Below are 27,304 nucleotides of genomic sequence, written 5' to 3'. Positions count from 1 at the left end.
AACATAACTTAGCAGCTAAGTAGTATAATGAAAATGGGATATTCAAATTATAAGATATAAAATATTAAAGATAGAAGAACATGTTTATTTTTTCAATATAAATATTGTTACAGCTCAGAGAAACAGTAAGAAATCTCAGGGCTCATGAAAGGCCACATTCTAGCGATAGTGATTGACAGGTATGGCAATTCCCCTGCAGCGTGGTGCCTGTTGTCATGGAGTAGCATGTCTCTTACAGGGTACTACCAGAAGGCTCAAGTAGGAAGAGCCAATAGTCCATGTGAGAAACCACGGAAGGCTAAAGATAGAAGGAAATATTTGGGCCACGTTGAAGAACAAGTTCACCAGGTGAATTGGCATGTGGCTAGGGTATGACTTCCCATACACACATAAATAATGAAGCAATAAAAAAATTAAGTTATCAGAAAAGTATTTCATTATTATTAGAGTCATGATTAGCATTCTCCTCATCAGGAGAGTTTGATGTTTTTTTCCAGCCCTACTCTACACTTTTTAAACACAGTCTCCAATTTTGAAAATAAAAGTTTCTTATTTTTAATTCAAATCTCAATTAAAATAAAACAAAAACCAAAAATGTAGAAGTTCCTTATTTTGACCATCTATATCATACACAACAAAAAGACTGATAAAAGTCCACTAAACACAACAGCTAGATCCTTATTCCCATTAATGCTTAAGCCCATTCCAATAAGGATTTTGTACCAAATCTGCCCTTGCCAAGGCTACCTGGGGCCTTCATTTTATTATTTGCAATGGGCAATTGTAACTTCACATCCGTGTTGGCTTCCTTACATCCTAGATGCACATACAGCCAGATTTTTTCCCATCAGATGTGATTTGATCTTCCAACTTCAGAATGCCTTGAGGACTTCCTCTTTATCTAAAGATCACTTTAAAAAGCCTGAAGTATTTGGCTCTTCCCTAAATCTTTGGCCAGACATAATGTCATCCTCCCATGGGCTTTCTTTGTCCAAACTACATTAGCCTTATCTCAGATCTTCAAACAAGTTATATTTCCTAAGATCTTTGTATGAGGGAGTGAATGGTCTGATGAAGATAGCTCCTTTTTGCCCCCAAAGGTTTTATTGATCATGCTGATAATGCATTTATTGTTATTTTAATCTCTTACTGTTATACTCAGGCTTAAATTCTCTACCCTACACACTTCAGTTGACATAATTTTAATTTCCACTATGATGCTTCTCTCTTTTCTATCAACACTCTCTCCCCACAGGGTTTCATCTAGATCAGGAGTCAGCAACATTTTTGACAAAGAGCCAGACAGTAAATATTGCAGGCTTTGTGTTGCCAAGAGGTAAATTTATGGAACTTTCCTTGCTGAAAAATTTTCCTATATTTTACATTTTAGACTTATAAATGTAACACGTACTTATAACTCATGAGCCATACAAAAACAGGCAGCAGGCCAGATCTGGCTCATGGGCTGTAATAGTTTGCCAACCCCTCACCTAGATTCATGACTTTAGGCATGATGTATAGGCTATGATTATCTAACTCACATCTCTAGCCAAGTCAACTTGTCAGTGCCTACTTGATATCTCCACTTGGATTCTAACTATCGTCTTAATTTAAGATTAAAAAATGTAAAATCAATCATACATATGCATCTGCCCACACCTCTGTCACTTGCAAACTTCCTCATGTCATCAAGACGTTGCCATTTCACTAAAAGTGACCATAATCCCCCATGTCCCTAAATCCAAATACCTTGGTATAATTCTTGCTCAGTAAATTCAATCACCTTCAAATCAACTTCCAATCTCAACTGATTTTCTCCAAATTTATTGCTACAATCATAATCCCAACCACCATCATCCTTCAACTGGACAGGTGCAATAGTCAGCAAAATGATCCCCCTTCCTTCACTACTGTACCCTTCCACAAGAGTACACCCTCCTAAGAGGTAACTAACCTCATCATATCACATATCCATCATACACTTTTCAATGTAATTTATATTCACACTTTGATATAAGATCTAAATTTGGTCCCTGAGAGCACTCATGTAATACCTCTCCATGCTCTTCCTTCATGGACATTCCAGCCAAACTGGCTTTCTTTGTAAGAAACTATCAAGCTCTCTTTTTAAATTACAGAATTTTTATATCTGCCCTTCCTTCTGCTCAGAGCACCCCAGATCTTCAAAGTACCTCCCTATTTGTCTTCACTCAACTCTCAAATGAAATATTACCTCCTCAGAGAGAAAAATTATCTGAAATACCTATAGCCAGATCAGTGCCTTCCTACTTGCCAGTTTTACTCAACCATGTTACCACATGTAATCTTCTTCACAGTAGTGTACCTTATAGCCCTTCACACCATTGCTTTGTTTAGGTATTTGTATGTCTTCTTCCTCTTTCCCTCCTCACTACAGTATAGCCAATTGTGTCTTTGCCTTCTTCACTGCTATATCCCCTAGTGCCTGGTAGGCTTTCTATAAATAGCCATTTATTGACTTATTGACTACATGTATATGCTAATCCTTTTTACTATTTTGTTATAGTATATATTTCTATTCTCCCTCTCTTTGCTTCCCTCTCTTCTCACGTCCCTTGATGCTTCCTACTCAATATTAACATGTACATCATTTTGTGTCTTCAGCATTTCTCTTTTCATGATATTATGATAGGTTAATTTTCCTAAGAAAACACTATTTTGACAAAAGCAAAGCATTAAAGTAAAGCAGCATACGATCAATTTTTTTCCTGGTAGAAGGAAACACCGTCTTTCCAAGAAGACAATTCCGCCAGGAAACAAAACAAACCAAAACATTTCCGGTAAGTCCTAGTTCCCAAGACTTGAAGCCAGTATGTTTTTCCACTTTCAAGTATCTTGACTGTAGAGATAAAAGGTATCCACTTAGAGATATTAACTCATTACCACTGCCTAAATTTGGGTTCCAGAAACACAACTTAATATGACATCAATGGATGTGATAATCATTTGAAAGTAGCTTTATCAAAATCATCCAACAGAACAAGTTACTTTTCTAATTAGCATCTTCAGTTAAATACCTAAATCTGATGAATAATAAGTTATGCATTATGCTAAATTGCATTGGCTAACTATTCTAGAATGCTTTCAAATTAATTAAAAATGAGATATTTGGTAATGAAAAATATAAAAAGATAAAAACCTATTTCAATCAGTTTAAATTAGAATTTAACATTTCTTTAATACACTAGTTTGTTTTGTAGTCAATTGCAAGAGAATAAAGCAAAATTATTGAGTCTTCAATAGTGACCGTTTAAAATTCATAATGAATTATTAAAAAGAAAACTAAGGTCCCTACGAACTTTCCACCTCACTTCAAACCATAGCCAAGGTCATTACAACAGCAAATAAGACTCTACACAATTCCTACTTCTTCGCCTCTATTCTGTTACTTCTGGAATCTTCTACTACTCCAAACTGTGTGCTTTGCTCCAGACTCAGCAGTTCTCACTACCTTGTTCTTCCAATTGCCATCTTCTCTGTGTGGCCTTTCTTGACTATCCAATTAAAAATTACCCTATCAAAATAATCTGATCCCCATCCAGGATTACTTTTCACCATCTAACTTACGATACTTTGCATATTTATGTGGCTCATTGTCTGTTATCTGTCTCCCTATGTTAGAATGCAAGCTTCATGATGGCAGAGTTTTGGTCAATTTCCTTCACTCAATAATTCTTGACCCAAAGTAAACACTTCATAAGTAATTTTTGAATATAGAAATATATAGTCTGAATTATCAAGGAGCTTATAAATAAATAAAGACACAAACCAGCATTATAGTGCAGTTTGAGAAATATTAATAGTGTGGTATAGGAGGAGGTACGTAAACTATGAAAAGCAACAGTTAAATAAGAAGCAATCCAGAAAGACACACAGTGTAGGTGATATCTGAGTTAAAGGACAGAAAGTAGGAAGATAACTAGGTGGAGAAAAGAGAGGAAGATCTTACAAACAAACATCAGAAGTTACCATAAGAAAAAGAAGTACAAAATAATCATAAGAAAAACAATTGCATCCCAATTATTATGACAAACATAATTAACTATGAAAATCCAAAACAGTTCATGCTTTGATAATGCTAAAGTTGATAAGTAGATTAAGGTGTGATATAACAACCTGTAAATCTTAGTCCTTCCTAACTTTTGAGAAAACACTTTCAGACAAGATATGATGATTTAAGGAAGAAAAGTTGCTGATGGATGAGGCATGGCCCTTAAAGACAAACACTATGAACACTGTGTACAGCCTTTATAATGGAAAGGTGCCAGGTTTTTTTTTAAGTCCTTGGAATCTCAGTTGGCAACTTTGAAATTCATGTGTAATTCATGAGTTTTTTAAAAGAAATGTAATAAGTAACACAAGTGATTCCAGAGCTTGTCTTTAGGCTGAGGTAGATGTTGGCATTATAAGTTGAAGTGTTAGAAAGGAACAATAAGAATTAAGAATAAGCAGTAATTTCTGCCAAGATCTGTGCCATCCAGTCTCACACATAAGGCTATTTGGAATCTCTTGGTTTCCAAGGTTCAGGCTCTCGTACTTTAGTTGTACATAAAGGACTTAAGTTATTCTTAAAGCACAGTTTTAGCACTTCACACCAGGAGATGGTTATGAGACTGATCACAGGATAAAGTGAGATAGGATGTGTGCCTGCTTGTAGAAGGAACCTCTTTCCTTCTGCCATTCTATTCCTACTTTTCTGGCAGGAAAGTCCTAGAAAAAATTTCGTATACAGATTAATTTTAAACAATTTATATTATATTTTACTATTATTAGCTTCTAGAATATCTTAGCTTAGCCTGGCCCTGGTGGCTCGCACTTGAAATCCCAGCACTTTGGGAGACTGAAGTGGGCGGATCACCTGAAGTCAGGAGTTTGAGACTAGCCTAGCCAACATGGTAAAACCTAATCTCTGCTAAAAATCCAAAAATTAGCCAGGTGTGGTGATGCATACCTGTAATCCCAGCTACTCGGGAGCCTGAGGCAGGAGAACCATTGAGCCCGGGAGGTGGAGGCTGCAGTGAGCCAAGATTGTGTCACTGCACTCCAGCCTGGGCAACAGAGCAAGACTCTGTCTCAAAAAAACAAAAAACAAACAAACAAACAAAAAAAGAATATCTTAGTTTATATATTTCTCACATCTGATCCTACCACTTTACTTCTTTTTTCCTGTTTATACCAATTATTTCTATTCCTCTTTACATATAGGCAGAGAGATAAGACTAAAATGTGTCATAGACAATGACATCTAGTAAATTTACCTATTCTTCATGTTGAATTCCACAACAGATTTCAAATACAACCAAAATCTCCAAATGAAATCTTAATTCCAAATTGAGTGCTTGTACAGTCTTCAAATATGTTCAAATAGAACATCAAAGCTCAATAAAAATAGTTATATCACTTGGGATGGTGTTTAAAATATTTTTCCTAAATAAATTCAGCTTCAGAGGATGAGAAAACCTTCATTAGGAGATGTACCTTAAAGAACAAATTAAGTTAAACAAATGTGAAAGAAATCATACTTTATTATGTTGAATAGTAAGATTTTTTTGTTACTATTGTGAATTAATGCCATCCAAATATTGAGTGATGTAATTCAATTTAGTAAAACAAAAAAGTCTAAATTATCAACTTCTTTCCTTATAAAAATGAAATATGCTATAACTTGCATTTTTCCATGGCAGTGACCCTGATGATCAGAAATACAGGTTAAAACATAAAAACATTTAAAATCATCTAATCTAAATTATAAAAAAGAAATCCCTTTCTTCAGAAAAAAATAATTTTTTAAGGAAGCACTCAAAAACAAATCTCTGCTAGTAGATATACAGCATACACGTCTCTTACTATCTCCCATGCAGACTGCATAAAAAGGCTTGCTAACTACTTTTAAGAAAACAACATTCAGATGTCTGGAAAGTATCTGAAATGCATGATTAATCTACACAGATAATTTTCTCAAGAAACTAAATTTTGAAGACAAGGAAATCAAAAGTATACTGTCTTTAAAGTAAATCCACTGGTATTCTTAAACTGCTGTAATACTTTCTCTGTTTACCTTATAGTGTGAACCTCTCAAGCTATGGGAATGCATGTAATCTCTAAAAATAGTTGACTTCTTTTGTAGGAAAAAGCTGTTAGAAATGACTGCTAGGATTTCAAATGTTTGGGAGTGTGTATTCATGTGGGTTTTATGTGTTGAATATTTGCATTTATAATTTTAAGACGCTTAAATCAAAAACTAAAATGACCTAGGTAACATAATTCTGCCATAGGATAAATTGAATTCATTTAAATTTTTCCATACAAATTATTGTCTACCACAATGTAAAAATATTTATATATCATAAAGATGTAAGAAACACTGACTTCTATTATACAGCAGAGTTCAATTTCACTACTACTTAGCTTGATGATATTTTAAGGTCATGTCTCTTGGAATACACATTCAATATTCATTGCCAAATGTCTGAGCTCACCTCTCTCGAAGCAATATTCAATTATCAAATGAAAATAATTTACCAAGCAACCTCACAAAACATAAACTCTAGGTAGCATTAAGGTTTTTCAAAGTGATTATTCCTTACTGGTAGTGATCCTAAGATATTAAAACTCATAGATCACATGATCTGAGATTTTCTAATTAAAAGCTGTAGCTGTAAACCTTTAATTCAAAGTCAGATACTACCTTCAGCTCTCAAAAGAATTATACAATCACTTAAATTTCTGGAATGAAAGAGAAAATGAAGGGAACAATAAAAGTAACTTTGAAATGCACTGGGAAACGATTGTAAGGAACCGAATGGAGGCAAAGACAGAGAGAGAGAGAGGGCTGTTTATCTAACCTTCCCTTCTTGAGTAGGTTTTCTCTGATATCTCTAGAGAAAACTTGGATGTGTAACAATGAAATACAAAACACAAGATATTGTCTTCATATAATTACTTGTAATGATTCCAGGATGGCATAATTTGAGAACTTGCTAAATAGGACAACAAAGTGATCTGCTTTTCCAAAATTTTGCCCCTTAACTTAAATATTATTTCATGGTGAAGACCAATAAAACTGAAAATTGGAATTGCCAGATATTATCAGATTTTATTTTTTGACTGCTTAATAGCTGACCCAAAATCTGGTCATAAAAATGGAAGTTAAATTAAATTGTCCTCAAAATTTAAGTTTCCTACAGTTGTAAGCGCCACTGGCTTCTTCAAAATTTCAAACTTTCTCATATCTAGCAGCAGATTGAAATTAGGAATTTAAGCATGTAAATTCATCGTGGAAACCAAATTGATTAAAATTTTCTGTGTATTCATGATAATGTTTAAAATTTTTGCTACATTTAAACCCTAAGTTAGTTACAAAAACTCTAAAATTATGCTTGTTTAAAAACTTGGGCTAACTTGCTTTTGAAAACATACTGACATATTCATTCCATTCTTCTTATAATTATTTTTGTGTCACTCCAAAACAGCACACCATTGTATATATCCCCAAAATAGCACTTCTTTGTTAAAGCCATTAAGACAGAAATATTTTTGAGCCAGATGCAACGGCTCATGCCTGTAATCTCAGTACTTTGGAAGGCCTAGGTTAGAGGACTGCTTGAGGATAGGAGTTCGTGACCTGCCTGGGCAACATAGCAAGACCCAGCCTTTACAAATGAAATGAAATGAAATGAAATAAAAATAAAATATAAAATAAACTAGCTGGGCATGGTAGTGCACACCTGTGGTCATAGCTACCAGGAGGCTGAGATGAGAGGACCATATGAACCTAGGAGTTTGGCGCTGTGATGAGCTATGATTGCACCACTGCACTTCAGCCAGAACTATGGGTTGCTGAGTTAGAAATAAGTTCTTGGTTCTGAATATAATAACTGCTGCTGGCACTCCCCAGAATCCTGTAAATGAGTTGGGTTTTCTGGTGCCTCTCTATAGTCCCTCTTTCTCAGGAAACACCCCCATGGTTTTGCCCGCTGTGCCATTAATTACACCCATGCTTATTATATGTCAGTTCAGTTTTATCTAGATTCTCCCAAAGTCAGTGCTGAACTTAGTTATTTGAAAATGTATATATTGTAATAGTTACCAAAAAGACAAAATACAGCTAGATATTTATGTTATTTGTTTTATTTCCATTGTAGGTATATTTCCTTTTAAAATTCATATATATCTTTCTCTAAGGATTGTCTCCATTATCAGATGTTAAACACTTTCTCATGCACAAACCACCTAAGCAGCATAGACACAGACAGAGTCCACGTCAGGGAATGTTACACTCAGGATAAGCACCTATTATTCTGTAACTCAGAAGTAGGAAAATGGATGTCCTCAAGCAGATGCTTTTCTTCACAGATACAAAAAATTGACAAGGATCATTGACTTACTTCCAACCCACCATTCATCCCTTTTCTCTTATTTTGACCCTAAGGGCCCCAGAGGGATAATGGCCCTACATTCTTATTTAGAATTCAGATTTCAGACTGCATTTCTTATATCATTTTTTATAAGTAGTGGTTGCACACAGTTGAGATATACTATGATATTAATCTACATTCCTCGTTAAATCGTTTTTTGTCTTCCGTTTTTTTAACTTAGCTACAATTTCTCACACGGTTTCTCTAGGAAGGAACATTGGGACTCCCCAGTGACTTAAACATTTAGAACATAGTCTATTCATAAATATGAAGAGGTTGTGTAGAAAGTATAATTTACTCATACTATTATGCTTAAGAAATTATGTGAAATAATGTGAAAATAATCTTATAACATTTGCATGCATATTTGCTGCAGGAGTCACACTTCACTGATACTTAATCATAATCTTGGACATTGCGGGTCACAATAACCAATATTTAATGCAAGATTGTAAACTTAATAGAGAGAAAACCTTATTTATAAATTTTCATGTATTCTTTTCTTGACAATAATAAGGAGCTATGAGATTTGTATTTTAAAAGATATTTAGTAATAAAAACTTTAATTTTTAAAACTTTTATTTTTAAATTCTGCTTAATTGCATAAAAGTTAAAAGGTAATATTTAATATTTAATGAGGCTTATTGATCTAAATGATGATATGCAGCTTGGGTTATACTTGCAATTATAAGATTTGCTCATTATACCTAAGCAATCTCCTTCACTCAATCTAGCTACCACAAAGGAAGCAAAATTGCCTGAATCATAATATCAAAGCATTCCATTAAGTTTTCTATTAAGTTGTTTTGTTCTTTGAATCATTGTCTATTTTAATTTATCCTTTTAGAAAGAAAACAAATTACTTAACTTGCATTTCCCACTAGAAGCTTTACTACAGCTAGACTTGGAATTGATTTCAGGCTGTTTTTTAATAAATGATGGTCCCCAATGAAAGATAGAATATTTGAGCAATCAATATTGAGTAAATAAAAGGGTTTGGGTAAATAAGAGAGAAGATACCTATTTTTCTCAAATATTTTAAATATCTAGTAACCTATTCCTCATCTAAAACAAGCCACAATTACTGGAAATGATGGTCAGAGGAAGGTTTTAGCAACCCTGTGTGATACTACATGTCATGTTGGATCACTATTACAGAGAAACAGTTGTGATGCTGCATTTTAGTAATTCTACACATTACCAGAGAAATAAACAACTCATAGCCACAGAAACCCAACGCGGCTGTCTACATATTCTTGTTTCAGCAACCCTGTGTCATACTACACGTCATGCTGGATCACTATTACAGAGAAACAGTTGTGATGCTGCATTTTAGTAATTTTACACATTACCAGAGAAATAAACAACTCTTACAGCCACAGAAACCCAACGTGGCTACTGTCTACATATTCTTGTTTTAGACCTTTGGTGAAAAAACTACTATGTGTATTAAATATATTTTACATTAGTTTTATCACAAAAAAGAAAAATGAGAATTCTATTAGATGCTAATATAAATTCTGAATGGCATGAAAGAAAAATTAAAATCAAAGCTGATCTTAATTAACAAAATGTATTATCTGCTTACATGTATATACAACTATTCATATACAAAGGCACACATGCATTTGTGGTTTTGAAAAATATCTATTTCATTTCAAAAATTCATTGAACAATATTACATATGGCAAGAAAACTGCTCTTTTTGAAGGATCTTTTAAAAAGTGTTAAACTTTATTAGATACTTCAAACTAGCAAAGCTCAACTTCATCACAATTATATAATAACACTGCACACTTTCAATTTTATCTGGAGTAATACACCTATCCCTTGAAATAAACTCTGTGAACTTCCTGCTTACAGATTTCATTTCAAGCCTTAAAAATGCGGAAAAAATGCCAAATATACTTGCCCCAAAAGGAAAAGAAAATTTCAGGGGTGTCAGGATGTTTTATCACATAAAATACGGAAATGCAATTTGTATCTGAGCAGGCAACACACCTCCAAAAATAATAATCCTCCAAAACACACCTCCAAAACCTCCAACACACCTCCAAAAACAATACTTATCACAAAATACACTCAGAGATACTAGATTTGGCACAAACCACTCCATACAGCTATTGATCAAATCAGTATTGAAAGCCTTATTACAAAATCTATGGCCCTTTTCTACTCTCCAACAGACATTTCAGGATGCCACAACCTTACAGCTCCACTCTATCATTAATTTCCCCTAAATACACTTGGCGGAAGAATGAGAAACATCACATTTTTCATTTAATTTCTAAAGAACATCACATCCTTTAAGAATAGGTTCTTGAAATTTTAAAATGTAAAACACAAAAACCCTAAAGAAAATAAACAAACATCCAAAAACTTTTCTTCAAAATCACAAAAACTTTATATGCTACGTGTTCTTATAAAATACCACAAACACAAACTCATACGCATACCCGCCCACCCAAAACACACACACACACACATAGCCTCATAATACCTCATATATATATATATATATATATATATATATATAAAATCAATTCCAACAGATAAAAGCCAATTTCAGAAAGATGGCTTCAATTTTGATGCATTTACTCACACATAATTCTATTTCAATTTAACTGGTGCAGAGGCATTACAATACCGTGTAACAAAAACCTGGGGGAAAATTACAACAAATTGCTTAAACGTCGAACCAAAGACTCACATAATATCATCATAAAGTGAAATTCGCATCCAACTCTCAAAGAATTAGAACATCCTTGCACTTACCTTGGCCTTGTCCATTCCCCTGATGACCCCAAAACACCACAGTCATCATCAACAGTCCCGGAGCCCATGTCCACATCCTTCTAGTGACACGTTCATGTCTTCTGGCCATTGCATCTTAAACTCTGCATATTGAGTGGGGTGGATGTGAAAGTACAATAAATTACATTCTTAGAGAAATATACTACGACTCAAATCCCATATCTAATATGCATTGTGCATTTCTGAATTATCCTGCTTACAAGGAGGTACATTTGAAAATCATGCTTCCCTTTAGGATTGTCATATTGATGATTAATATGAAAGCTCATTCATCTTTAATCTTTATTCTAAGCATTCATCTGAATCACATTTTTAATATCATTTTCCAAAACAGGCCATTTAACCATGAATGTTAAAAAGTACTCCCAATATACATATTGGAGTTCAGTCAAGCAAAAAAATTGTGTATGGACACTACTTAAGTATAACTTGATATTTAGGCAAATTGATGAATTTAACATACCATGTAATCTCTACATATATACAAAAGGACTTTTCAACACATTTATGTAAGTTTAGCATAAATACCTTTGAAAATATTCTCAAGTTTTAAGTGGTATTCTAATTATGTCAGTAATTAACTGAATAAAGAGATTCATCATGTGCAAAAACTAATCTTATTTACTTAAAATTGATAGTAAAATTAATTATAGACATTACAAAACACTTGTAATTTTGATTTCAGATATATAACCCACAGGAACTTTCATATATACAAATATTATACATATATATGACAATGTATATTTGAATGTTCATTTTGAAACTGCTTTTCATATTGATATATGAAAATACTTAAATGTCCACCAAAGCAAGGTTATTTATTCATACATTTGAATGATACACAGTAGCTCTAAAGAATAAACTTGAGTTGCATGTACTAATATGGATAAGTGTCAAAAATGAATAGTGAAGCAAAACTAGCAAATTGAATAATGATAAGTTCAAAACTATACCTTTCATATGTAAACATGTACAATAGTTAAAACTATACATTTTATGTTGCATAAATATATAATACAGTATAATAATGCATAAGAATGATAAACACCTTCAAGACCAAAGTTAGGAAATTACAAGACTACAATTTAAATGGTTAGCAGATGGAATTTTAAATCAGAGGTTACTCCTAAATCCCAATTTTTCCACAGTTGACAAAATACGGAGTTAAGAAAAGTAAACTTAATAATTTCCAGAATGAATGCTTTATTCAAAATGCTGCATAATTACAATTCTAATAAACTTGCAAGGGAATCCAGTCACCCAGAAGTTTTCTTTCTCCCTTTCTCCTACATCATGAAAGGGGAAGATTTAATTACCAACTTTGCATTACTTAACTTCAGACTCATAGTATCAGAGCTAAAGAGAAATTTAAGAAACATCTAACTCAACCTCTCCATTTTAAATGACCAAATGAGTTAAGAAGGTTACAATGACATTTCTAAGTTCATATGTAAAAACAGAATTTTGATGACAGTGACAGTTTAAGTACCAATAAACACTCCATGAAAAGTTACTGTAATCCAGGTTATTTTACTGTGCTAAATGCCTTACATTCTTTACCCAATTTAGTTTTCACAGAAATCCTATGAACAAAGCACTTTCAACATTTACCACTTCACAGCTAAGAAAAACAAGGCTTAGAGAAATGCTACACGATCCCCTAGTCATCAGGTTATGGGTACTCTTGTGGAGACTGAGACAAAACAGGACGATTTCAAAGCCTATGCTCTGAACAAGTAAACACTAAGCAGGAATTTAGTTCTAGATCTCCCAATTGTAGTCCAACAATCAGCCAAAAACTGATGCTGAGAAGAGGGAAAAAAAGATGTCTTGTGTATGGAGGCTCAAGTATTTGATCCCAAATACATCTTCAAATTGAAAATCATTAGAGCATAAGGCAACAGAATTATTAGTTTCTAAAATCAACAGCCTTTCCCAAGTTGAACATACAAGTATATTTTATCATACATATACTATGGATAACGTGTGTTTATATAAATATTTATATATCTGGATTTGGAATTACAAGTGTTTTGTGATTTATTTATTTTTTAAAGTCTCCCTCTGTTGCTCTGGCTGGAGTGCAGTGGTGTGATCATAGCTCACTGCAGACTCCAACTCCTAGGCTCAAAGTGATACTTTTGCCTCGGCCTCTCGAGTAGCTCAGGCTACAGGCACGCACCACCATCCCCGGCTAATTTTTTTATAGAGATAGGGTCCCACTATGTTGCTTGACTGGTCTCAGACTCCTTAGGTCAAGGGATCCTCCCACCTAGACTTCCGAAAGCAATGAGATTACAGGTGTGAGCCACCTTGTGTTTTTTGATTTCTTCAATTAATTTTACTTATAAATTTAATTACACAAGTTTAATTTTGTGTACATGATGAATCTCTTTTGAGGTTTAAATTACTGATATAATTAGAGTACCACTTAACATGCATGTAATCCCAGCACTTTGGGAGGCTGAGGCAGGAGGATCACCTGAGGTCAGGCACGAGCCACCGTGCCTGGCCTATATACATTCTTTTAATTTCTACTTGCAGAACTTTGTTCTCTTATAATTATAGTGGAACCACTTTCACTTAGTATCAAAATATCCAGATCCACTCATCAAAGTGTAAATAATCCTTCAGTAAATTACTTTTGCAAATTTATTTTTATGTAATATTTCCTTAACTTCTTCTTACCTACATCCAGTAGTCATTTTAAAAGGCAGAATTTTTACTATTTTATATAGAACTGAGGCAGTATTTGAAAAAAATCTCAAAACACTTTTCAGGAAGGACTGGCATCTAAAACACCAGTTCCAATATATATTTTAGTAACATTTTAAAGGACAGATGGTTTTCAAAATGTTATTATAATTTAAAAAAATGTAACCTTCCTCTCTGAGTTGATGTTTATGGAAAACTAATATTTCATAAATGCCAAGTTACTATGATGTATGATCTAAATGCTGCCCCTGCCATTCTATAAATATAAAAATCATAACCTTCTAACTAACTTTGGTATTAGTCAACAATTGTGCTGATGAAAAGTAAACTCAATTCATTTAAAAAAAATTTTCCATGAAAGATAAAACAAGTAATTTGTAAGAAGCATGGTAGATGAACCAAAACATAAAGTAACATTAACCATAAAGACATGCCATGGACTTCTCTAATCTTCTTTTGGAACACCCTTTTCGTGCATATGAGAATAAAAATTAAATATTAAATGCCTACTTTATGTATGTACTTTTACTTGTACCTATTGCTCTTTAAAGATTAAAATAACTCCTAAAGCCTGGATAGTTGAGCCCATTGTGCTCTTCTGCACATAAAACAGATTGGATATGCAGTGAACAGAGAGGTAAAACTTAGGCTTTCAGATTTGTTATGATGATGGAAACACAATTCCATTCAATAGTGTTCATCTTGGTCTTTCAAATGTTTAAGGTCACAAGGCAAAAGAGAACAGACTTTAAGAATGTTCGCGTATTACTTCTCGTCTTATCCAATAGCTACATTAGTTTAATTAGGCAAGTGTTTTGGAGTAAACAGCTCTGTGAAATGTGTTGTGGAGTCTGGAGGCTCCACAACCTATCTCCAGGTAGTTGTCCGATGGAGCCTAGAGTAATACCCCCACAGTTTAAGAGATGCATTACATCTACAGGTACCAACCAGGAAGGGTAGTCCTGAATTAAATGGCTTTAGAACACGTTATAAGAGCAAATCGAAGTTTCCAGGTATTAGAACCACTTCAATCACAGAGCATCTCTGGCTTCTATCTGTGGCCAGCATCAGGTATCTGTCTGCCCTCCCCGAATGGTTCCACTCGTCATGTGGATCTTCTAGATGGTTTTATTCTTCCCCAGCCAGCCAACTTGACCAACAAGCCTAGGTATATTATGTATGTATAAAGTTGGTTCTTAAATAAAGTCCACTTCTGTAACTAGGTAAGTAATGTCTTCAGACTGGCAATTTCATTGTTATCTAGAAAGAGTGACTCTAGTTAGCTTCTAGTGTCAGTTTTTCTAGCAGCTTCTTTAAAAAAAAAAAAAATCCTCTCTGGAACAAAGCTTCCCTGCAAGTATTGCTGTTGGCAATAGTCCTCTTTACTGAAATGCTTATCCAGTGAAACTTGGGCTGTGCCAGTGAGCCTGCAGGTTGATGGTCCGTTTGTTCAACTTCTCCATTATAAAGCAACCTCTCTGATCACCCTTTTAAAACTAAAGACCAAAGAATCAAATGAGATCAGGAAGTCACCAGAGCTCATGGGTCATCAATTCCTCTTCTTAGCATATTACAGCACACAGTCTAAGCCAGAAAAACACAGCAGAGCCCATTACAGCTCTTGAGTTCCAGTTATTAACATTGATTTTTTTCAATGGAAAATTTTCATTAGAAGCCATCACATGACTCACATTCAGTAATAACTTAGATTAAGATGTATACTGGAGCCTTTGTCCTTAGACTAGGTGCCACTGAGTCACTATTAAAAGGAGTCTTTTTGACCTTAGTAAATTCTCACAGGCAGGGCTTATCTCAGTCTAAACTGTACCTGGCCTTTAATAGTGATGTCCAAAGTCTTGTGTAATTCAAATTAATATTGTAATGTATATAAATTGTATATATAGATATAACACATGCATGTATTTAAAATTATTTATTTTATTTTTTAATAAGATAAAACTTAGAGGTTAAAATATGACTCTAGGCCATCGTGCTTTAGAATGAAGAGCACAGACATGGGTTGGAAATGTAAATTTTGACCCCATTTAATTTCTGTGACAAATTAATTAATGTCTTCAAGGTTCAGGCTCTATGTATGAGACAAATGAAAACAGCTCTAAGATTCCTGAAAACTCTAAAGTATTAAAATTCCACTCTGCCATTAGTTCAGATAAATCATTTGCCAATTTGCCCCACAAGAACCAGGCATCTTTAAATGGTAACATAACACGCACTTCTCCCTCCCAAAGTGTAGTGCATAAACGTTCTGCTTCTGAATAACACACGATGCCTGCTAAAATGTGCTGTCAGGGGTATTAGTAAGGAAATGTTGTATCACAACTTCTGCAGATGTGGCACTGAAATACATATTGTAATAAATCCTCCAGGCCTCTCAAGTTAGGAATAACTGGTTTATAAAATTGTACTTACTTAAAAATTATAGATAAACAGATTTCACAGTAACCCAGTTTTTCTGATCTGAATGAAATAAGGCTCTATATTCAGACTGACTTTTCAGTGAAAAACAAATTAAAATAGTGACAAATCATCTAAGTCTAAGTTTAAATGAATATAACTAAGAGACCTGAAAACTCCTCAGATTTAGTAGTAATCTTCCAATAGTTTGAGAGCCCACAGGAGCCACAGAGCCCTAAAGTCTCTCCAGAGAAGCAGGGTGATTTTTCCTCCTAAACACCATGCAATTCTTGAAGTGAGTAAAACCACTCCTGCTTACACTGATACCCTCTCAAGTGAACTCAAAGTTAAGCCAGATCTCCAGCCAGACTATATACCCTGGCCCATATCTCATTCATTAATATACGTTGAGAAACCTTTGTTTCTCGGAAACTACATGAAGTGAATAGACTGTGGACTCCACTGGACCTAGTGGTCTATATTTAATCAATTCCCTTAACAAATATGTATCAGATGTTATCTTAGTTACTGAGCTGCAGTGGTGAATAAGAAAGCCATAGTCCTGTACTCCTAGGGTTTTAATTCTGAAGATGAAGACAGGTACAGAAACCCAACTAAGAAAAGAGAAGAGATTATTACAAAATGTATTCACATGCAAAGTCAAGCAGGGGACTGAATACACAACAAGGGTGTTGGGGGGAACATCAGACAGATATAATCTTAATTCAGATTATGTAAGATTTATACATGAAATTTTTATATATAGATATATTAATTTGGGCCGGGCGTGGTGGCTTATGCCTGTAATCCCAGCATTTTGGGAGGCCAAGGCGGATGAATCACTTGAGTCCAGGAGTTTAAGACCAGTCTGATCAACATGGCAAAACCCCATCTCTACTAAAAATAAAACAGTTAGCCAGGTGTAGTGGTGTGTGCTTGTAGTCCCAGCTACTCAGGAGGCTGAGGAAGGAAAACTGCTTGGACCCAGGAGGCAGAGGTTTCAGTGAGCCAAGATTGTGCCACTGCACTCCAGCTTGGGTGACAGAGAAAGACCCTGTCTCAAAAGAAAAAGAAAAAAAGAAATATTAATTTGGATTATACAGATTCTAACTACTTCTTTCAAGTGAGAATATTTAAGCTAAGACCTGAGAATAAAAAGAGTTAGCTTTTCATACAATACAGAAAGGTTCGTCTTTTAAGAAAAAACCCACAGTGTTCAAGGACCCTAATATATGAGCAACATCTTGGCATGTAGAAGAAACCTGTGAATTGGATGAAATAAAAAACTGAAAAGTAGGAATCTGGATGAAGCACAAAAGGGATAAAGACTAATGTGAGATGTGGCTGAAAGAGAAAGATATGTGAAACTGTACAGGTCTTCATTAGCAATGATGAGGAACATAGGTCTTAGTCCAAGTACACCAGAAAAGCGGGAGAGTTGGAAACTGAAAGACACGTTAAGAGATCACTTTGGTTTCTATGTAGCTAACAAAGTGTAGGAGATTAAGAATTAAAGTAGGTTGACTAAGGATGAGCCTAAGAAAATAGAGTAGGTAAGAAAATATGTGGATCTGGCTAGGCTGGGGACACTGGAAATCAAAATAAGTGGAGGAAATTACAGATATATTTGGAACCAAAATATTTTTTAAATGAATGTTGAACTGGATATTGTCAGAATATTGAGGAAGGGCCAAAAATGACTTATAAGCATCTAGCATGGCTGGCAGTGCCACTTACTGACATGTGGGAAACCGGGACATGTTATCTCTGAATTATTCGAGTGCTATTGTCATATAAACCATCAACTCCCAGAATAAAGGTCTGGGCCAAACTCTAAAACTGAAAATTATTAGCTGTTTAGTAGTGTTTAGAGCTTAGAGAGAGTATGTGTGTAGAGAAAAAAGAGCAATTAGGACAGAACCCTTAGAAACATCAATATTTAAAATTGGGGAAGAGAAATAGAAACAAATAAATTGTTCTACTAATGGTGGGAAAATGAAGCTCAGGGTAGTTGCAAGGGAATGCTAAAAATGAACTACGACATTTGAGGAGGAAAACGTGGAAACTGAAAGCAAGAGAGTACGGATGGATTGTGAGGGAGCAGCAGCAGCTGTGTCCCAAGGAGAGTCTCAATAAAAATGAAGGATTGTAGGAATGAGGATATCCAAGCCAATGAGCTGGCAAGGAGTGATGTCCAGGAGGCAGAATATTTGCATCTAGATCCTGGTGGCACATACCCTTATAGAAAATGTTTCAGATTTGATGACAATAAAGTGGAGGAAAGAAAAAAAGTAATGGAAATAAAGATGTCAAAAAATGGGGAACAGAGGTTCGTAATGGTCCTTTCATGTGAATGCTGAGCCACTAAAATGATGGCTGAACTTGCCTGAAGATGATATTGAGCAAAAGATCTAAAGCCTTAAATAAATGACAAGAGGCCAGGTGCAGTGGCTCACGCCTGTAATCCCAGCACTTTGGGAGGCTGAGGCAGGCAGATCACCTGAGGTCAGGAGTTCGAGACCAGCCTGGCCAACATGGTGAAACCCAGTCTCTACCAAAAATACAAAAATTAGCTGGGTGTGGTGGTGTGCACCTGTAATCCCAGTTATTCAGGAGGCTGAGGCAGGAGAATCACTTGAAACCGGGAGGAGGAGGTTGCAGTGAGCCGAGATCACACCATTATACTCCAGCCTGGGTGACAGAGCAAGACTCCATCTCAAAAAAAAAAAGACAAGAGTGCCCAGGAAGGAGGTCTGTTGATGATGGCAATACCAAAGGGGCATGGCTGATATTTCCAAGGGGTTTGAGTTTCAAAGGAACAGTACAATTTGCAAGAAGGGGAGAAATTAACAGTCTAGAAGTTGTAATGGGAACCAAGAACAACCACCTCAGCTTCCAGCCACAGGTATGTGGAGGGTGAGAAAAAGACCAGTCTCAATTTATGAAAGCTAGAGCAACAATTGTACTTTGGTATCAAGCAAGTTTTGTTTTAAGATAATTACAAAGCAATATGGAACTTAGCAAACGTGAATTTTGACAGTTTCCTGCAGCTTAGTAAATTCTGCAAAAAATTAAGATTTAACACAAAAGTATAGAAAAATTTTAATGGCACAGCACCTTTCTTCACAATTCCTTAAACCAAATAATTCCCTGTTCTTCTAACTCTCTCCTTATACTATCAACCAGGCTTCTTATTCAATGAACGGTTTAAGTCTAACACACACACACACACACACACACACACACACACACACACACGTCTTATCCAGCTGCAGATCTCATGTTTGAAGGTACATTGAAAGTACATAGATCATTCTATAATCATCAGCTACCCCCCCTCCACACACACACACACGTCTTATCCAGCTGCAGATCTCATGTTTGAAGGTACATTGAAAGTACATAGATCATTCTATAATCATGAGCTATCACACACACACACACACACACGTACGTCTTATCCAGCTGCACATCTCATGTTTGAAGGTACATTGAAAGTACATAGATCATTCTATAATCATCAGCTATCACACACACACACACACACACACACACACACACACACACACGTCTTATCCAGCTGCAGATCTCATGTTTGAAGGTACATTGAAAGTACACAGATCATTGTATAATCATCAGCTATCTCACACACACACACACGTCTTAACCAGCTGCAGATCTCATGTTTGAAGGTACATTGAAAGTACATAGATCGTTCTATAATCATCAGCTATGGAGACTGTGAGCAACTGGAACAAGCATTCTTGGAAAAGAAGTTTCCTGTGTATAAGAAAAAAGAAAAAGAGTCCAGCTCTGGGAACTGACTTGGCTCAGTCATCATTATATGCCACTGGCAGGAAATCAAGAAGTAACCCAGGACTGATGAACTTTGTTAAAGGAATGGAAACAACCTGCCTGTGAGGCTTAATTCTTGATGGTCTGGCCAAGATACAGCATCTGGATAAGAGTTCACTGACTCACACTAAATTTTGTGAAGGTGAAGTACTTGTTAAAATGAAAGATCTATTTACAGAGAAATAAGTAGACATAATGTCTGCACTATGGATAGGTGTATAACTGCTTTTTGCAAAAACAGTTTGTATTTTTGAAATGCTGGTTTGCCCTGGACAGAGCTAACTTAAATAGAGGCCGGGCACGGTGGCTCACGCCTGTAATCCCAGCACTTTGGGAGGTCGAGGCGTGTGGATCACGAGGTCAGGAGATAGAGACCATCCTGGCTAACACGGTGAAACCCTGTCTCTACTAAAAATACAAAAAATAAGCCGGGCGTGGTGGCTCACGCCTGTAATCCCAGCTACTCGGGAGGCTGGGGCAGGAGAATGGCGTGAACCCGGGAGGCGGAGCTTGCAGTGAGCTGAGATCGCGCCCCTGCACTCCAGCCTGGGGGGCAGAGAGAGACTCCGTCTCAAAAAAAAAAAAAAAAAAAAAAAAAAGAGAGAAAATCATTAAAGAAAGGCTATAATACAATACACAGGAACACACAGACACACATACACCTGTGTGTCTATATCTTCAGTTATCACACTTTTTCTATACAGACTCCAAACAAGACAAACATGTTACGTTTTATTTTAGGAGAAACTATAAGTAGAAAGAGGAGAATTTGTTAAATCAATACAGAGTGTTCCTTGTTTAGCATAATTCTAAGTGTTTCTCATTAGAGGTCTAAGTAATCAATCTGTATTGTATGTGGCCATGCTGGCATTTGGGAAATTCCACAAGAAACTTTTTAAATATGAATTTGGAAAAGGGAAAAGGATTTTAAAAGTGTCTTTTTTTGTTCTGCATTCTGTGTGGAACATATATTTTGTGCTACCTGCTCGTGTTAGCTTGTGATTGCCTGTGACTATGTGGAAGATATACTTTACGTGACTATGTGAGCAATAGTCTTAAAGTTAAGAAATCCAAAAATTGGTTGGCTTAGTTGCTAATTAGGTAAACTACCTTGTAATAGTTACTTAACCTCTCAAAGATTAATTATCTTAAGTGGTACATTGAAGGTTCCATTCATATTGATTTTAGTAGACTTATCCTGCTAAAAAGTAAATTTAACAACAGAAATTATTCTAGACCTCATTATTTCAGGAGACCCCACACCAGCTTTTATTCCTAACTTCAAGAATGCAGAGAAATTTAAAAATTGGATTTTCTTCCAATTCAACAGAATATAACTGAACTAAATAGATTTATGTATAATTCATTATTTCAACCTTTAATGCTATATCCAAGAAGTTTGTTTCACCATAAAGTTATTGCTGTTTAAGCCAATAATTAAAGAGGACCTTGATAAAGAATGACAAGAGAGGATGATCTCCCTTTTATCTATCTTCCAGCTGCTTTCAATGCCCTGAAGTTTTATTCACACTCAAATATTAGAATCCTATCTGAGAGAGCGTACTCAAATGATAAATCATGCTAATTTCTCAAGAAAAGTGTTACAGAATAATAAATGCCTTTCTGGTCAAAGCACTGATGCTCTGGAAATAATCTTTTTCCAAATGAGGTACAGGAATTGTTATGACTATTAAAAGTGTGTATATGATATCTGCCAAGTTCGACTGAGCTTCACTTAAAAATCTACTATATTAGGGCCAAGTGTAATGACTCAAATTAGTGAACTTAAAAATTGTTTTAAAATGTTCGATGGAGACATTTCAAATATTGCTCTTTGATTTATCACTGTTACTTTTGCTGAATTCAATTTGATGCCAAGCTTTATTCAGATTAATCAAATGCCATAAACTCTGATACCTAATGTTCCTTAACACCTTAAGAACCTTTAAACAGGGCAAATGTTGAAGGTATGCTTTTAGTGAAAGTGTACCTGAGCACATGAATTCTATTTAATATAGTTTTTAGAAGACTAACAAAGAAAGAAGACTTAGGAAATTAGGAAACATTTTTTAAACCTTCTAGAGGGAATTAAACTACCGAAAAATAATTTCAATTTGTGAATCTAATGGCACTAATCAGAAGATAAGAAAAAAGCAACCATAAAACTTTGTGGGGGTAATATTTGCTATAAGGATCAGGAAAAACAACTAATGGATATTAGGCTTAATACCTGGGTGATTAAATAAACCATACAACCAACCCCATGGCACAAGCTCACCTCTGTAACAAACCTGCACTTGTACCCCTGAACTTAAAAGCTAAAATTTAAATAAATAATGCTGTGCTATTAATTTCAACCAGAGCCTTCCCAAGGTGCAGGGAACTTTTGAGAATTTTATTTCTTGCAAAAGGAAATTTGATTCCTTGCTTAGGGCCTTCCTAGCAAAACCTCTATTCTTTGGAGGAATATCATACTCCTACAAGATTTAAGGACCATCATATTTGTCAGATTTTTTTTCTGTTTTACTGTGAGCAGTTTACAGAATATAAAGAAAAATCAAATCCGAAGGTGCACTACACGTTGTTTATCAAAAGGAACATTTTTGTTTACTTTTAAGAAAATATGACAAATTTAGTGTTCTGACCTATTACCAAGTTAGACATCTTGAGTGAATTGAGTCTTTTGCAATCCTACTTGGTTTTAATCCTATGGCTCTGGAAAACTATCAACTATCTCCAATTTTTCAACTCTGCTTCTTCCCAGTACCTCATCTATATGACTATTGTAGTACTTTTCATCTGCTTCTACCACTACACTGTGGCTGCCTTACCTTTAACATAATGTCCCACACATAAGTGGCTGGCAAATACATACCTAATATAAAGAGTAGAAATTGAATTATAATTGAGTATCCAGTTGCCTCATATTCTGGTCTTCAACTGAAATAACTCAAGCTATCTCAAAACTTCAACCCTCCCTGGAAGTATTGGACCAAATTATCTCAGATTATAGCACTCTCAGGCTAAAATTACTAACGCTTCTATAGTTTCAGAAAGAGTATCAGGTTATTCAACACAACCTTCCATGCACCATCCCAGCCTCATATAATCAGAGGACACTTAGATGACTTTAGTAGCCTTCAAAAGACACCCTCCCCTTTTATTTATTTATCTATTTATTGAATGGAGACAGGGTCTCATTCTGTTACCCACACTGGAGCGCAGTGGCATAATCACGGTTCACCGCAGCCTCCACCTCCCGGGCTCAGATCCTTTCACCGCAGCCTCCGGAGTAGCCAGGACGACAGGCGCCAGCCACCACGTCTGCCTAGTTTTTGTATTTTTTGTAGAGATGGGGTTTCACCATGTTGCCCGGGCTGATCTGAAACTCCTGGGCTCAAGCAACCCGTCTGCCCCGGCCTCCCAAAGTGCTGGGATGACATGAATGAGCCATCGTGCCCAGCCGGCCCCGCCCGTTTTTTAACCTTCATACTGTTTATATAATCATCCTTCACAAAATAGAACACTTAATTACTCGATGTTTCTCATTATTCTAATATGAAGAACTATCTGAAGAAAATAAATTCCCGGCCGGCGCGGTGGCTCACGCCTGTAATCCCAGCACTTTGGGAGGCCGAGGCGGGCGGATCACGAGGTCAGGAGATCGAGACCATCCTGGCTAACACGGTGAAACCCCGTCTCTACTAAAAATACAAAAAATAAGCCTGGCGTGGTGGCAGGCGCCTGTAGTCCCAGCTACTCGGGAGGCTGAGGCAGGAGAATGGCGGGAACCCGGGAGGCAGAGCTTGCAGTGAGCCGAGATCGTGCCACTGCACTCCAGCCTGAGCCACAGAGCAAGACTACAGTCTCAAAAAAAAAAAAAAAAAAAAAAAAGAAAAGAAAATAAATTCCCAATAATTCCTAGAATATCCAATTTAACTCTATACATCAAATAGAGAAAAATAAAAGCCGTCTTACTGTGTTTCTTACTGCTCATAATAAATTAACACAAACTCAGAGGCTTAAAACAACACATTTTTTGTCTTTATACTTCTGGGGGTCAGAAGTCCAAAATGGGTCTTAGTGTGCTAAAATCGAGTTATCATCAAGTCTATATTTTGTCAGGAGATTCCAGGGGAGAATTCACCAGGTTTGAGGGGCCACATGTACCCCTGAGCTCTTGGCCTCTGCCTCCATCCACACAGCACATCACTTCAGCCTCGGCTCCAGTCTCCCCAAGCTCCTCTACTCACTCTGGTCTTTCGGCCTTCCTGTTTGAAGGTTCTTTGTGACTACAGTGGGCCCACCTAGATAATTCAGGATAATCTCTCCATTTTAAGGTCAGGTGATTAGCAATCTGAATTCCACCTGCAACCACAATGCTCCCATGCTGCCTGACAACATATTCAAAAGGTCATCCTATTAAGGGTCATTATTCTACCTACACACTAAGTAACTGAGAAAAAAGTAAAGTTATGTATCATGCATTACCTATGGCAAGGAAATAATAAATTATAATGATTTATCTAAAAAAAACTATTTTTAAAAGCTTTGGTCCTAGTCTATTGATTAAAGTTTTGGTATATTCCAGATAAATTTCATGTCCTTGATGCTAACACATTGTGCACAGTAGATGGCCTTTTTAAAATATTACTTTATAAAGGGATATTTAAGGTTATCTGGACAATAGAAAAGGAACTTTAGCTGTTATGCCACAAAAGGCCAGATTTCTGCACATTACACCTCCTACCAGTGCACACATGTGCAAACTCCTTCCTGAAAGCCTGGTTTGTGTTTCCTATGTGCTTAGCAATAGTCTTTACTCTCATGACTGTTTATATTAAGTCCTATTTTTTAAAGCATATACTCATTTATTTGTTTTCCCGAGCCTACCCTTATTTCCTCCTCTGAACTGGATTTCATTTGGTGTGTATTGCACAGGCTTGCACACTTGATTGTACGCTACTTTACAGCATCCTCTTGTGTTCTGGACACAGTTATTTTTCTCCATGGTAAGGTGATAAGTGACTTCTCTGAGGACTTGCCACCTTAGTATGCAGTGGTGACATCACCTGCTCAGGCTCTGTCTGCAATGTGGAATTTAGTATTTTCCAACTTCTGGTCTAACTTGAACTTCATAATTAAGCAGAGCTGCCTTTTGAGGGAATAGTAGGGTGTCTGCCCCTAAACGTCTGTGTAAATGCAGAAACATATTTGGGAACATAACTGACTTTTATGTACAGAAGCCAGATGCATTTCATGCCCATGCATGCTTAGGGAAGCAAGTTCATCTCATCTATCACAATAAAAGCATCTGTTCCACTAAATTCCACTGCAGGATACTTTTCACACTTAAACAACAAAACATTTAAGGAAATAAAAGCTCTTCCCAATAAAAATGTGCATCAAAAACTGTGTGTATGTTTTAAAAAAAAACCTTCCTCTATAAGATAAGGCCATAGGAACTACTTAAAAAAGCATTCTTGAAATATATTTTCTGATAGGCATCTAGGCCCTTGCCTTATGTAAGATTTAGGGAAAGTGATGTGTGTGTCTTTATACCTGAAAGGCTGCTTTCAACAGCAAAGGGTATGCTTTGAGGTATCAGTATAGTTTTGAGAATGCAAAAGTTTAAAAGAACTAATGGAATGCATATTATCCAGGTATGAACATGCATTTGTCATTATTTTCCTACCATCTACTATATTAGAAACAGAAGAAAAATTATGGAAATGTCAGTTTTCCCTCAATACGAATACCTATTTATTAAAGTTAATTACTATTCTTTAAACATTTTCAAAATAGATTCATAAGTGACAACTTTCAGAGAAAATAAGGGTTTTTGGATGTATATATTTACTTATAACATGGATAAAATTAATAATATAATTTTGTTAAAATATTAACTCCGTATCAATAATGCTCTCTATTGTTTTTGCATTTTGTTTAACAATAGGGAATCTAATACATTTAGTGTTCATGAGTTTCATACAGTTTCCTGTCAATGTACTTTGTCTTTTTTTATTGGACTACTAATCATTTATTTATGATTTGTTGGAACTACTCATATTTTAAATATGTCAAGTGAATTGCAAACACTTGCTGCTGATTAGATATTTGCTTTTTACACATATTCATGGTATCCTCTGAAATAGAAAAGTTTTATATTTTAACAAATTCCAATCCATAAATATTTTTTAAAAAATTTTCTGTTATTGGTTAGGGCTACGTTTAGATATTTAGTTTTAACCGTAATGTTGCAAGTGATATTTGTCTATGGTATTTTTTCTTTATATTCTGAAAAAGTGTATTTGACATCCACTCTGGAATTAGTATTTATGAATGACATAGTATACCTTTGTGCAACTATAAAATACATATAGCCAATTATCTGAACACCATTTTATGAACCGTTTATCACTTACCCACTGATTTGAAACACTATCTTTATCATATATTGGATTTTAGGTTTATTGAGATTATGTAACATGAAATTATTTAATTATGAAATTATGCGAATTCAAGCATGACAGTCAGTTCTTCTTCCCCACCACTACCCTGTAAAAGGGTGGATGGAAGAATTGCTTCCTTATGGCTTCAGGGTCTGAGTAGTATAAAACATGGTCTTGATGAAGTGGGAACTATACAGAAACTGTTTTTGGTTCTGAAATGTACTCCAGCTTTACCAATTTGTTCTACACATATACCATTGAGGGTAGAAGCTGAATTTTGCTTACGATTATATTTCTACTACTTAACATTGTGCCAGATACTGAGTAGATGCTTAGAAACATGTTTAATGATTTGTTTTATTGCTAGATACCTAATTATCTGCTGTAGTGGTGCTACCTCATTCAGAATAATTTTGACAAATCTTTCTCCATCATGAATAAAACATTATTTACACACTTGTGTACATGCACATCTGCATAGAAACACACACACCCTTTGCAGAGACAAACTGCATTGAAAGCATTACAAACATTATAGTATATTTGTTGATTCTGACCTGATTCTGATTCTATAGCATATTTTTTCATTCTGAT

At 35.4% G+C, this 27,304-nt stretch overlaps 1 protein-coding gene across 9 annotated transcripts in view, besides 1 other annotated feature; it reads right to left on the bottom strand.

Moving 5' to 3' along the window:
• ROBO2 (roundabout guidance receptor 2) overlaps positions 1-27,304 on the bottom strand; it is a 1,743,290-nt gene that overhangs the window by 1,701,131 nt on the left and 14,855 nt on the right. For all 9 annotated transcript variants that reach the window (NM_001378191.1, NM_001378195.1, NM_001378196.1 and 6 more), the window contains exon 2: positions 11,232-11,353. In NM_001378191.1, the coding sequence (NP_001365120.1) occupies positions 11,232-11,340 (109 nt within the window). In that variant the 5' untranslated portion in view covers positions 11,341-11,353. The remainder of the gene's footprint in view (positions 1-11,231; positions 11,354-27,304) is intronic.
• Positions 15,176-15,696: an enhancer, noted in NCBI's record as "NANOG hESC enhancer chr3:75982289-75982809 (GRCh37/hg19 assembly coordinates)". NCBI's record gives its function as "activates a minimal SCP1, AML or CMV promoter by ChIP-STARR-seq in primed H9 embryonic stem cells {active_cell/tissue: H9 hESC(primed)}" and the evidence as "EXISTENCE:reporter gene assay evidence [ECO:0000049][PMID:30033119]".

The sequence above is a fragment of the Homo sapiens genome, chromosome 3, assembly GCF_000001405.40.
Source record: "Homo sapiens chromosome 3, GRCh38.p14 Primary Assembly".
In the NCBI taxonomy this organism is placed as follows: domain Eukaryota; kingdom Metazoa; phylum Chordata; class Mammalia; order Primates; family Hominidae; genus Homo; species Homo sapiens.
This window is presented reverse-complemented; position numbering and strand designations above follow the sequence as displayed.